We start from the raw sequence: 14863 nt of genomic DNA, 5'->3' as shown, positions 1-14863 counted from the left end.
ATGAAATTTTTATTTAAACATTCCAGGTAAAGAGTGTTTTTAGCAGAAAGAGCCTCCCCAACACCTGCCAAATTATGCCTATACCAAACCACAATTAATAATTTTCATTATAACTGGACAGAAATGTAGTGAGTGCTTACTCAGTGTTAGGCACTGTGCTAGCTGGGAAGGATATAAAGATTTTTAACCATAGTTGGCATATTGTTTGTGCTTCCTGGATCCTGCCCTCAAATAGTTCAGACAAAAAGAATGTAAACCCAGTTATAGAATGAGGTAAAAATTTAATCATCAATATATGTACAGGATTAAGAAGTACTATAGAGGTGATTTATTCTGTCAGGGTCAGCTTAACAAAGAAGTTGTCATCTGACTTGATGTATAAAAAATGGGTCATTGATTAGGGATAGAAAATGGGATGAGGAAGGAAAAATGGGGAGTGATTCCTTAATGGTTACAGAGTGTGGGTGATAAAAATGTTTGGAAATAGATTGTAGTGCTGAGATACAGTGGCTTACACCTGTAATCCCAGCACTTTGGGAGGTTGAGGCTGGAGGATCGCTTGAGCTCAGGAGTTCAAGACCAGCCTGCTGCAACAAAGTGAGACCCTGTCTCTACCAAAAAAAGAAAAAATATTAACAGGATGTGGTCTACAGGAACTACCATGGACCTAATATTAGCCCAATGACCTACTGATAGAATAGCCATCTGACAAGAGTAGGCTAACTATAAGCAGAGCTTAAAAGATAGTATGCTTCACCACTAGATTAGAGTGAGCCCAGAAACCTTAACTGCTGTACTTTTTTGATAAAAAGTGAGTAAAGTTGAAGGAACAGAAATTTGCTTTGAAAAATGGTTAGCACAACTACAGGAAACCTGCCAGTTTTTTGATTTGGGATTGATTTTGCAGTTATCGTTTCTTGCTAAAATTTGTTTGCCTCTTCATCTTTTCCCTTTTTTGTCTTTTCTGATCATCCTTATATAGGCTTTTATATAATGAAAATGTGTTTCATCTAAAATACCTACTTGATTAGAAGTTACACAGAGTATAACAAATATAAAATTTAAGGTTTAAATGGTTTAGTAAAAAAATAACTTTTCTGCCAAATTAGAAATTAAATGTTACCTCTGTTGTGGGATAAGTATCATTCTAATGATCTGTTAATTGAAAACAAAGGAAAAAGTTGAAAGGATTAAGTTAAAATTTGTACTTGAGAAGGCCTTTAGGAAATAGCTTAATTATTACCACCTGCATTGAAGGAATCTAAGTAGATTTTTACAAAGCTCAGCAATACAAATATAAATACCTATCCAATTTATGACTTTCAACAAATGTATAAAGATAGCTAAATTTAAAAATAGTTCTTTTCAACTGGTGAATGGATAAACTATGGTATATTCAAACAATGAAATATTACTCAGCAATAAAAAGGAATGAATTACTGACATTCACAGAGACATAGATGAATCTCACAAGCATTCTTCTAAGTAAAAGAAACCAGACCCAAAAAAACTTACACTATATGATTCCATTTATTTTGATAACGAAGTTCAATGCGTGACTTTGAAGAGTAGTTGGATGAATAGGTTTTTGAAGTAAATGTGGCAACAAACCACCCATGCTAAAATGGAGAATAGAGCAAGCAATAGAAAGACGTGGCAAACTGCTTTTCTGAACGTCAACACAGCCCTGTATATCCCAGTTATCTCAAGGGTATCACAAAGCTACACATTGGTGATAAATGACATTTGCCATAATAAAGGTCTGTTAGCCTCAGACTGGCTATTCTATAACTAAAGAGCCAATTAACTTTCTCTGGGAAGTGTTGTTAGTATTTAGGAACATTTCTATATATTAATAGTTGCCTCCTAATGTGATCTTATTGATCCAACCAGAGTATTATTTGGGATACAAGTTTTTGAGAAAGTTATTTTATAATGCCAGAAATGAAGAGTTATCATAATCTGTGGTTTGCAAAATACTACCACTCCCTCTAAAATAACTGAGCATAAATTTGTGAAAAGATGAAGAGTGTTCTTCACATTTCATGAGAAATTTTAGTAACAGTAGTATGCTTCATTAGTAGGGCAAAATCCTACATGATGTTCTTAATGGGACCTTTAAGCCAGAGCACCAATGGTGGGGGTAGTTGATTTTCCACAAAGAAAACTACTTGGGAGAATCAATTATATTCCTATATACAAGCAAAGAATAATTGGAAACCAAAATTGTAACAAAAGCAGTACAGTTTACAGTAGATCCAAAAAATTAAACACTTAGATATAAATCTGACAAAACATAGGGAATCTGTATGTTGAAAACAGAAGATGAAAGAAATAAAAGAAGACCTAAAGAAATGGAAAGGCATACCATTATTGAAAGATGCTACATGGTAAAGATGTGAGTTATTCCTGAAGTGATCCATAAATATAATGCAATGCCAATCAAAACTCTAGTAGGACTTTTCAAAAATTATAGTCAGATTCTAAAATTTATATGGAAGGGCAGAGGAATGAGAATAGTTTAAACTATTTTATTATTTATTTATTTAGAGACAGAGTCTCACTCTGGTGCCCAGGCCGGAGTGCAGTGGCACAATCTCAGCTCACTGCAACCTCTGCCTCCCTGGTTCAGGTGATTCTCTTGCCTCAGCCTCCTGAGTAGCTGGGACTACAGGTGTGCGCCACCACCCCCAGCTAATGTTTCTTATTTTTAGTAGAGATGAGGTTTCACTGTGTTGTCCAGGCTGGTCTTGAACTCCTGGGCTCAGGCAATCCACCTGCCTCAGCTCCCCAAAGTACTGGGATTACAGGCATGAGCCACTGCACCTGGCCTAAACAATTTTAAAAGAATAAAAAGTTTCAAGGAATCACACTAGTCAATTTAAAAACTTACTCTAAAGGTACAGTAGTCATGGCTACTGTACCAGAGTGGTATTTGCATAAAGATAGATATGTAGATAAATAGAATTAAATAGAGAGTTCAGAAATAGACTCCCACATATATGGCCATTTGATCTTTGACAAAGATACAAAAGCAATTCAGTGGAGAAAGGATAGTCTTTTCAGCAAAAATTGTGTTGAAACAATTGGTCATCTTTCTCTCTCCCTGTCTTTTCTCCTAGACCCCCACCACACACACAAACACACCCCAGAAATTGTGACCTAAGCCTCACACATTATACAAAGATAATTTATAATGGATCGTAGTTCTAAATGTAAAACAAAACTATGAAACTTTTAGAAGAAAAACTTGGTGACCTGGGTTGGGGGAAGACTTCTTACAATTATACTGAAATCATCATACATGAAATTTAAAAATTGATAAACTGGACTTCATCAAAATTAAAAATTTAGCTCTGCAGATATACTGCCAAGAAGATGAGGAGACAAGCGACATACAGGAAGAAAATACTTGCAAATTCACATGTCCAACAAAGGAGTTATATCTAGAATATATAAGAAACTCTCAGAATTTAACAATGTGAGCCAAAGACTTGAACAGACACTTCAGCAGAGGATAAAGGGATGGCAAATGAGGGTGTGAAAAGACATCCAGCATCATTAGGCATTGGAGAATCACAAATTAAAACAATGATGAAATGCCACCACATATCTGTTAAAGTGGTTAAAATAATACGGACAGTACCAAGTATTACTGTAATAAGATGCAGAGCAACTGGAACTTTTAGACAGTGATGGTGGGAACGCAAAATGGACAACCACTTTGAAAATGTTTTGGCAGTTTCTTATAAAGTTAAACGTATACTTACCATATGCTCCAACGATCGCACTCGTATTTACTCCAGAGAAATGAAAATTTATGTCCATGCAGAATCCTGTACTCACATGTGTATAGCAACTTTTTTATTCGTGACAGTCAAATGCTGGAAACAACCCAGAGGTCCTACAGTGGATGAATGCATGAACTGTGTGGTACATCCATACAATCAGCAGTAAAAAGGAGTAAACTATTGATACATGCAACTACTTGGATTAGTCTCGATGACATGCTCAGAAAGAGAAGGCAGTTTAAAGAAGTCCCATACTGTATTATTCCATTTCTATGACCTCCTTAGTAGTGGCAGAAAACAGATCAGTGGTTGTCAAGGGTTATGGGTGGGAGGAGGGGTGCCTACAAAGACATAGCATGAGAGAGTTTTTGGGGGTGATGGAACTATTCTGTATCTTGATTGTGGTAATATTTACACAAATCTATATGCATTAAAGTTCATAGAGCTGCATACCAAAAAAGTTAATTTTACTGTATAATCTGAAAAATTAAAATATTTTACAATGAAATGAGCTGCTTTACAAGGTTGTATGCACCATATTACTGAAAATGTTTAAGTATTCTGTCAAAAACTGTTTAAGGCTATATGTGGGAGACTGAACTAGGGTAATTCCAAGGTCTGTTACAATTCTCAGCAGTGATAGTGCTGATTCCAGGGAGATGCCAAGCACCAGTGACATCAAAAATCATTCGAGTTTATTCAGGTGGTTTACCACTGAAGAAATGCCTTTCCGTGTACTCAGCGGACGGTTAACTGGCATGGATGGGAGCTGAACAGGAGAAGGAGGCTGAGCAGTCACTTAAAACATCTTAAATCAGATATGTTTTTCTAGATTTTATTTGGTTTATTTTGGTTTGGTTTTGAGACAAGGTCTTGCTCTGTCGCCCAGGCTAGAGTGCAGTGGTGTGATCTCAGCTCACTGCAGCCTTGACCTCCCGGGCTCAAGCAATTCTCCCACCTCAGCCTCCTGAATAGCTGGGACTACAGGCATGTACACCATGCCTGGCTAATTTTGTTTATTTTTTTGTAGAGACCAGGTGTCCCTATGTTGCTCAGGCTGGTCTTGAACTCTCGGACTCAAGCGATTCTCCTGCCTTGGCCTCCCAAAGTGCTGAGATTACAGGCATGAGCCACCATGCTCAGTGTATTTTTCTAGATTTTAAATACAATATAATGTTTATGATGTAATATATTTTAATATGGTTCTACAATACATTTTATTATAGTTTGACCATAATTTTATCTACTTTTACTCTACTACATTTTTATAGTGCTCTATCAGCATATTTTATTAATACCTTTGTTTCCTTTTGAAGTCTTCAAAATAATATTGATATTGATACATACTTAGAAATATAAGGTTTATTCTGTTATTTACGTTATATCTGCATTATAATGAATGTGATCCATTGAAATTGTATTGTTGATAGAATTTGAACTAACTTAGAATTATTTGGTTTTATTTGACTTGTGAGAGAAGAACTAATTTTAATTGTTTGGTAGAACCACAGTTCTTTTCTGTTAGGCTTTAAGTAGAACCTGTATTAACCACTAAATAAGATAATGTGTCTTGAAAAGTAATTTCGTTCATTTCAATATTTTTTAGCAAAATATGCAAAGCAATTTAAGAAGTTCAAAGAACTTTCATAATAGGAAAGGAAAACTTAATAAAAAGTTTCTTTATGAGACCAATGAGTCTTCGCATGGATTTTTTTGCAGCTGTAGTCTATAAAAGAAATGCACTTTTAAGGAACCTCTTGGTTTTAAATAATTTATTTAGCTTATTACATAGTTCAGCTTTCCCCGTGAGTCAGTTTTAAAAGTTTCTTTTTTTAACTTGTATTTTGCAGGATGGAGGTTTGCTTCTGAATAACCCTTCGGCATTAGCTATGCATGAGTGTAAATGTCTTTGGCCAGATGTGCCGTTAGAGTGCATAGTATCCCTGGGCACTGGACGTTATGAGAGTGATGTGAGAAACACGGTAACATACACAAGCTTGAAAACTAAACTTTCTAATGTTATCAACAGTGCTACAGATACAGAAGGTTAGTCTTGTTTGCTGCTTTAAAATACTTCAACTTCTAGCATTCTAGCAGTTTTTTGGTGGCATTTGTTGGTCCTAACTGCAAAGGCATATGATATGTCTGTATTGTGGATTTAGGAAGTACATGGGAGGAAACATTTTGTTGTTTTCCTTTCTCACTTGTTTCTTGTTAGGTGACTCTAGAACAGAGACTGTTTTCCATTTGAGAGATAGTGCTACCTTTGCCCACTTACTGTTGGAGAAGTACCTAAAGCTGGATAGCACAACATTTTGTTGGAGACTCTGAAGCCAGTTAAGAAAGGGAAAAGCAACAAAAGGAGTCAGATTTGTTCAAACATATACATGATAGCAAAGATTTAGAGTAAAGGACATTCAATTATTTAATACTGTCAAGGCAAACTGGAATGAGAATGTGTTCTTGCTTTTACTCTTGCTGCCCCTATAGTTTAATCTTCATACAGAGACCAAAGTCATCCTTTTAAAATGCAAATTAGGTTGGGCACGATGGCTCATACCAGTAATCCCAGCACTTTGGGAGGCCGAGGCGGTTGGATCACTTGAGGTCAGGAGTTTGAGACCAGCCTGATCAGTGTGGTAAAACACCATCTCTACTGAAAATACAAAAAATTAGCCAGGCATGGTAGTGTGCACCTGTAATTCCAGCTCCTTGGAAGGCTGAGGCAGGAGAATCACTTGAGCCTTGGGGGCAGAGGTTGCAGTGAGCCAAGATTGTGCCACTATACTCTAGCCTGGGCTACAGAGCAAGACTCCATCTCAAAAAAAAACCAAAAACAAATTAAATAATGTCTGTCTGCTTCTCAAAACCCTCTTTCAAGTGTGTACCTTCTCTACAGTGTGTCCAACCACCGGATAATTCTTGGTGGTCACCAAACTTGCTAAGAACTCTCCTGCCTCAGGGCCTCTGCAGTTGCTGTACTCTCTCTCTATAAGGCTATTTCCCCAGATAGGCACTTGACCCTTATTTCATTCAGGTCTCTGTTGAAATGTCAGAGGGACCTCAGAGAAACCTTTCCTGACTGCTTTTCCATTTTCCTTATCATCTCACTCTTAATTTCTCAGTCTGCTTCTTTTTCTCTTTTTCTCTTACAGCATTTATCTCATTGTAATTATATATTACATATTTGATTGTTTACTTATTATCCTTCTGTCCAACAAGAATGCAAGGCAAGAATTTATCCAGTTTACTTTGACTTACCCAGTTTGCTGTTGACTCCAGTGCCTGGCATATAGTAGGCATTCAGTGAGTGTATGTTGAATTTCAGGTTTTGGCCTTGAGGTGTTTGTGTGTGTGTGTGTTTCTTAGAAACAGGATCTCACTTTGTTGCCCAGGCTGGAACGCAGTGACAATGATAGCTCACTGCAGCCTCAAACTCCTGGGCTCAACCAGTCCTCCCACCTTAGTCTCCTGAGTAGCTGGGACTACAGGTGCATACCATTGCACCCAGCTAATTTTTCAGACCTTTTTTTGTAGAGATGGGGTCTCCCTGTGTTGCCCAGGCTGGTCTTGAACTACTGACTTTAAGTGATCCTCCTGCCTTGGCCTCCTGAAGTGCTAGGATTACTAGCATGGGCCACTGGGCCTTGCCTTGAGGTTTAGATTTCCTCATTTTACTATTTTGTTTTTAATTATTGGGTGAAACGTTTTACTAAATTAAAAAAAATTATTACCACTTAACAGCTGCTTGTATTTGAATCTCATTCTTTTCATATCAGCATATTATTGGCCAAGTCATTAACATAAGTGAGAATCTTAAACTCCCCACTGAGGACTTTTATTCATTGAATGAAAACCAAAAAAAAGCTCATGTGCTAGATTTTTCACTATCTGAAATTTTGTTGCCAGATCAGTAAAATACTCTTTTTCTCCCAGCTTTATTGAGGTCAGACTGACATAAAAATTGTATATATTTAAGTTGTACAACATGTTGTTTTATTGTAAGTATACCTTGTGTAATGATTCCCACAATCCAGCTAATAAGCATATCTGTCACCTGACGTAGTTACTATTTTGTGTGTGCCTGGTAAGAACACTTAAGATTTACTCCCGTAGCAAATTTAAAGTAAACAAAACTTAATACATTGTTATTAACTATAGTTACCATGCTGTACGTCAGATCTCTAGTAGGTAGTCATAACTGAAAATTTGTACCCTTTGACCAACATCTCTCCATTTCCCCTACTCCCCAGTGTCTGGCAACCACCATTCTCCTCTGTTTTTTTTAGTTCAACTATTTTAGATTCCACATGTAAATGTTACTGTGCACTACTCATTTTCCTGTGTCTGGCTTAGTTCCCTTAGCAGAATATCTTCCAAGTTCATCCACGTTGTCGCAAGTGGCAGGATTTCCTTCTTTTTTAAGGCAGAATAGGATTCTTGTGTGTGTGTATATACTGTAATTCCTTTATCCATTCATTCATCCATGGACACAGGTTGTTTTCATATCTTGGCTATTGTGAATAATGCTGCAGTGAACATGGGTGAGCAGCAATCCCTTCAAAATAACAATTTCATTTCCTTCGGACATATACCCGGAGTGGGATTGCTGGATCATATGGTAGTTCTCTTTTTAATTTTTTGAGGAACCTCCATACTGTTTTCTGTACTAGCTGTACCAATTTACATTCCTATAAACAGTTTACAAGGGTTCCTTTTCCCCAGTTCCTTGCCAACACCTATTATCTCTTGTCTTTTTTATAACAGCCATCCTAACAGGTGTAAGGTGGGATCTCATTGTGGTTTTGATTCACATTTCCGTGATGGCTCAATAAAATATCCTTACCATAAGCCATTTGCTGAGACAAGTGGCTTTAGTCGGGCAGTCGCATAAGAGTTAAGTCTGTACTTTGTGCAAACCATGTAATGGGCTTATTTGGAATTTTCAAGAAACATGAAATGTTGCCTCAGTGTACCTGCACTCCAGTTAATAAGACAAATGAGTAAAAATTTAATAAACTTAGTTAACTTTGAAAAAGATATAACAAGAATTGCTGTTATAAGATATAACAACAACATTGCTGTTGGCCCACAAAAACAACAATTTTATAGGGTTTAATCTGTGGTGAATTGCTAAATAAATGGTAAATGATTGTAAGTGATTAAGACTATGAATTAAGAAAAGGAATGAGAAAACTTGATTGGTGTAGACAGCTTATAAGACATAAAGTAGACTTGATATGGGTCTTAAAGGATGTATAGGATTTGGACATTTTAAAAGAGAGTTAAGACTTCCTCTTCTGGACATCATAAACTATTAGGGACCAGATATTTCCTCTTACCTTAAACAACTAGAAAAGTAGACAAAACAATGATTTTCAGACATGAGAAAACAGGTAACATAGGACAGCGATCTCTGAAAGGAGAATGAATGAGGTCATCACTATTATTGTCCAGCTTGCTGCCTGAAAAGAGTTTCTACACTATAGCATAGTTTCTATTCTATAGCACCAGAAAAGTGGGGTAGTCTCAGTGGGAGTTGTGGAAACAAAATTTGCAGTTCAAGGAGGCCAAGGAAACTAAAATTTGTGGGCTACATGCAAGATCTGAACAGTGAAAACTATAAAACATTACTGAGAGAAATTAAAGACCTAAATAAATCAATACATGTACTGTGTTCATGAATTGGAAATCTCAATATTGTTAAGGTATCACATCACAAATTGATATGTAGATTCAATACAATTCCTGTCAAAATCCAAGCAGGCTTTTGAGGGATAGAGATTAACAAGCTGACTGTAAAATGTATATGGATATGCAAAGGACCCAGAATAGTGGTCTCCAACCTCTTTGGTCCCAAGGACTGGTTTCGTGGAAGATAGTTTTTCCGCACATGGGGGCGGGGAGGGGAGGGATGGTTTTGGGATAATTCAAGCACATTACATTTATTGTGTACTTTATTTCTAGTATTATTACATTGTAATATATAATAAGTATACAGCTCACCATAATGTAGAATTGGGAGCCCTGAGCTTGTTTTCCTCCAACTAGATGGTCTTATCTAGGGATGATGGGAGACAGTGACAGATCATCAGGCATTAGATTCACCTAAGGAGCACGCAACCTAGATCCCTTGCATGCTCAGTTCACAATAGGGTTTGCAGTCTTATGAGAATCTCATGCCACCACTGATCTGACAGGAGGTGGAGCTGAGGCAGTAATGCAAGCGATGGAGAGTGGCTGTATATACAGATGAAGCTTTGCTTACTGGCCCTGCCACTCACCCCCTGCTGTGCAGCCCATGGGTTGGGGACCCCTGACCTAGAATATCTGACACAATTTTGAAAAAGAAAAAAAAGTTGGAGGACTTACATCTGCTGATTTAAAGACTATAAAACTACATTAAGCAAGGAACTGTGGTGTTTGAATAAAGATAGACATATAAATCAATGGTATGTAATAGAGAGTCCAGAAATTGATTTATACATGTAAACTCAAAAGACTTTTTACAAAGATGCTAAGGTAACTCAGTGGGAAAGGACAGTCTTTTCAACAAATGGTCCGGGACTATTAGATACCTGTATCCACAGCGTTGACCTTGACCCTTTGCACCATACACAAAAGTAACTTGGAATGCATCACAGTCGTTCATGGCTAATATGCAGAAATACAACTGATTTTTCTTATTGACCTTATATAACTTCAAACTTGCTAAACTCACTTATTCTAGTAGCTTTCTATAGCTTTCTCAAAATTGTCAACATAGGCAACCAGGTTGTCTATAGAGTTTTACTTCCTTTTTAATCTACATGCCCTTCATTTCCTTTTAATGCTTTACGGCACTGAAAAGGACCCTCCAGTACAATGCTTACTGGAAGGTGTGAGACTAGACATCTTACCCTGTTCCTGATCTTAGATGGAAACCTGAATCTAAGAGCTGAAACTATAAAACATATAGAAGAATATGCTGGAGAAAATCTTAATGACCTTGGGTAAAGATTTTTTTAGATAGGACATAGAAAATATGAATCAGAAAGGAAAGAAAGAGATAAATTAGACTTCAAATTACAAATTCTGCTCTTTAAAAGGTACTTTTTATAAAATGAAAAGGCAAGTCATACACTAAAATATTGATAAAACATGCATCTGACCCATCATGAGGTATAATATATAATCAAGTTCAAAATATATAGAGAATTCTCATATAACATATGTATGTATATATATATAAAATAATAGGCTGGGTATGGTGGTTCACACCTGTAATCCCAGCACTTTGGGTGGATCGGTTGAGCCCAGAAGTTTGAGACCAGCCTGGTCAATATAGTGAGATCCCATCTCTACAGAAAAATAAAAAACTATCTGGGCATGGTGGCACACACCTGTAGTCCCAGCTACTTGGGAGGCTGAGGCAGGAGGATCACTTGAGCCCAGGAGTTCGAGGTTGCGGTGAGCCATGATTGCACCACTGTCATATATATAGGACACAGCAATTCAGTGAAAAAACTGGGCAAAAGATTTAAACAGACACTTCATTAAAGAAGATATACAAATGACTAATAAGTACATGAAAACCTTCTCAACATAATTAGTCATTAGGGAAATAAAAATTAAACCACAAGATACCACTACCTCTATAATGCAAAACTTAAGACTTGACATACTAACTTTGGGCAAAGATGTAGAGCAGTGAGAACTCTAATATATTAGTGGTTGGAATACAAAAATGGAAGACAGTGTGGCAGGTTTTTTTTAAAATAAGCATACCCTTTACCATATGAACCAGCAATTTTATTCCTAGGTTTTTGCCCAAGGGAAATGCAATCATATGCACATGAAGACTTATGTGTAAATGTTTATAATCGGGTTATTTCTAGTAGCTAAAAACTGAAGAGAGCCAGACCAGAACTGCAGAGAACAAATTGTGTTGTATCTATACAATGGAACACCATTTAGCAATGAAAAGAAAGGAACTATTGATATATGCTACAACATGGATGAATCTCAAAAGTATTTTGTCCATAAAAGAAGGTAGATACTTTTGATTCTGTTTGTATGAAATTCTAGGAAAGGGAAAGTGGGCACCAACTATAAAGAGGCTTAAAGGAACTTTTTACAGTGATGGAAATGGCTATGTCATGATTATTGTTGTGCTTACACAAGTGTATACATTTGTCAAAACTTGTCAAACTATACAGTTAAAATTGGTGAGTTGCACTGGATGTAAATGATATGTCAATGAAGTTGATCCCAAAAAAAAGGAAAGTTGGAAAGGGCATTTCAGCAGTGGTGAACAGTATGACCAAAAGCACAGAGAGAATAGAAGAAGTATACTAATTTCACAGAATAATGTATTTTGGAAGATGAATTTTATCTTATAGTTTTACCCATTATTATGGATTACTTCTACTGTCAGTTTGAATAATGAAATTAGTGAATCTTTGTAATGTGCCTAAAAAGAAGTTAATTTTAAATAAAGACAAATTAACAGTTCATTGCTCACTTTATCCCCTCTTTTCTTATCCCCTTATCCTTTTCTTTTTTGCTTTAACAGAAGTCCATATAATGCTTGATGGCCTGTTACCTCCTGACACCTATTTTAGATTCAATCCTGTAATGTGTGAAAACATACCTCTAGATGAAAGTCGAAATGAAAAGCTGGATCAGCTGCAGTTGGAAGGGTTGAAATACATAGAAAGAAATGAACAAAAAATGAAAAAAGTTGCAAAAATATTAAGTCAAGAAAAAACAACTCTGCAGAAAATTAATGATTGGATAAAATTAAAAACTGATATGTATGAAGGACTTCCATTCTTTTCAAAATTGTGATGAGTATATGCTTATGTTCTCATAAATGAAGGTCTGTTTAGAAGATCAACCACATTCAATAAGGAATTGTGGGGTTCGACATGAGTTAACTTTGAAATACGTATGAATTCTGGAGAATCCTGAAAAAGACGGTGCTTCAACCAGCTTGCATAGCACAGAGAATATTCTTGGTTACAGAATTCATATGGGAACTAGGCTTTTAAGATGTTAATAATTAGCTAAGCTTTAGTAACCCTTACTGTGCTAGTAGATTTTAGTAGATATTGGTGTTATATTGTTTGATGTTTGAAAATATATTAATATATGTGCCGAACAAGAAACCGAAAGCTATATTGTACTGTGTATTTTTACTTTAGTCCTCATAATCATGTTGAATTTATGTGATCATTGATTTTATTTCATATGGAAAAGCTAATTTCTTCTTAAATTTACATTACCTAATATTCTCACTAGCTATGTTCTCCAATCCACACTGCCTTTTATTGTAATATCATCTAAATAGATGCAGAAAAATGGAATTTTCTCTATTAAAGTATTTTACATTTGACATAAAAAAGAACCAGATACAGTTTTCTATTCAGATATGTTTATTTTAACATTGTTTGGTTAAAAAAGGTGAAGTTCCAGTCAACCACTTTTTACCCCTGAAATTTCAAGATAATGCTATATTAACTTTTCCAGATCTAACACTAGCTTATTCTTCCCTGTTATAAAATGGTTTGAACTTACTGAGGAGATATTCCTATCATTAACAAAAATAAACTATTTAAATAATCTGTTGTTAAAAGGCTAATGTCATTTTAAAATTAATTTTTGTTCATAATGTAGCTCCCCTTTAGCCTTTGAATACACCTGGCAGCAGTATGCTTAAAAATAAGAAGTTAGTTGCCTGGCGCAGTAGCTCACACCTGTAATCCCAGCACTTTGGGAGGCCGAGGCAGGCAGATCACCTGACGTCAGGAGTCCAAGACCAGCCTGGCCAACACGGTGAAACCTCGTCTCTAATAAAAATACAAACATTAGCCCGGCATGGTGGTGCACACCTATAGTCCCAGCTACTCGGGAGGCTAAGGCAGGAGAATGGCTTGAACCTGAGAGACGGAGGTTGCAGTGAGCCAAATAGCGCCAGTGCACTCCAGCCTAGGCGACACAGCGAGACTCCATCTCAAAAAAAAAAAAAAAAAAAAGAAGAAGTTAGGCTTGTTTTACCTTATTAACTCCTTTGAACTGTCTGGATTTCATGGAAGTTGGTAAGATGCACTTACATGGAACATTGTTCATGCCAAACAAACTCATCTTTATTGTATCTATTTGTCACATAAATCCTTACATGGAATGTTTTGATTTCTTAAGAAAAATGAAACAAAGGTTAGCGCCCCTTGTTTTAGACATACAAACTAAAGCTAGACCCTGTTGCCCAGATAGTCATATTGCTTCTTTGCAATATCAATTCACAGAGGCTGTGAGATGTGGTTCAAAGAGTGGAGTCGAGAGTCTGGATGCTAATCCTGCCTTTGCTGCAAGAACCCTTCTGTTTGTTACCTTGAGGAAGGCAAATGTCTGTAGGCTTTGCATATCTCATTTGTAAAATGAGGAAAGGTAGCTGTAAAATTTTCTAACATCCGAATTATATAAACTTTAGACATAGTATAAAATAGGAAACTACCAATGATTTCTAAAGATAATATAGTTCTTTCAGACCACAAATAATACATAATAACATGCAACTAAGAACAACTTGTAAATGCAAGAAAAAAACAAATAATTGGAAATCAGAATATTTCTGGGAATTCTTCGTAATAAAGCAAATTTCAAGCACAATAAAGTAATATTTATGCATATTTACATATTTGCACCTCATCATAAGGTCACTCTAGTCCTAAACTGATGTAGTTCATCTGTTTTACAGCTGAAGTTAAGTATGTCCCTTATTTGTGCTTGGCTTATTTCTTTCTTAAATAATACATTACACAAGTGAACTCTGGCCATGGCTTCTTTCTTTCTTTCTTTTTTTTTTTTTTTTTTTTTTGAAGTTTCCCATATATACAACTCAGTTCTTTTTTTACTGACACCTAATATAAACCACGTAGCATGGCACCTACCATCCCTATTTCTTTAGCTCTTTTCACTCTCAAACAAAAGGCAAACCCAGTTGTGTGGTGCACCAGTTTTCAGCCATTCTTGTCCTCATTTGTACTTGAAACTGGTTATCTGAAGAACTGTAATTCACCTGAGATAACCCT

At 36.2% G+C, this 14863-nt stretch overlaps 1 protein-coding gene across 13 annotated transcripts in view; it reads left to right on the top strand.

Moving 5' to 3' along the window:
- Positions 1-14604, top strand: part of PNPLA8 (patatin like domain 8, phospholipase A2) — a 57762-nt gene extending 43158 nt beyond the window's left edge. For 9 of the 13 annotated variants that reach the window (NM_001256011.3, NM_001256010.3, NM_001256009.3 and 6 more), the window contains 2 exons: positions 5642-5837; positions 12346-14604. In NM_001256011.3, the coding sequence (NP_001242940.1) occupies positions 5642-5837; positions 12346-12620 (471 nt within the window). In that variant the 3' untranslated portion in view covers positions 12621-14604. Of the gene's footprint in view, positions 1-3354; positions 5484-5641; positions 5838-12345 lie in introns of those variants that run through there. The other 4 variants (XR_007060039.1, XR_007060036.1, XR_007060038.1 and 1 more) reach the window with 2 other exon arrangements.

This window comes from Homo sapiens, chromosome 7 (assembly GCF_000001405.40).
Source record: "Homo sapiens chromosome 7, GRCh38.p14 Primary Assembly".
Lineage (NCBI taxonomy): Eukaryota > Metazoa > Chordata > Mammalia > Primates > Hominidae > Homo > Homo sapiens.
Note: the sequence above shows the minus strand (reverse complement) of the source record. Positions and strands in the feature narration are given on the sequence as shown.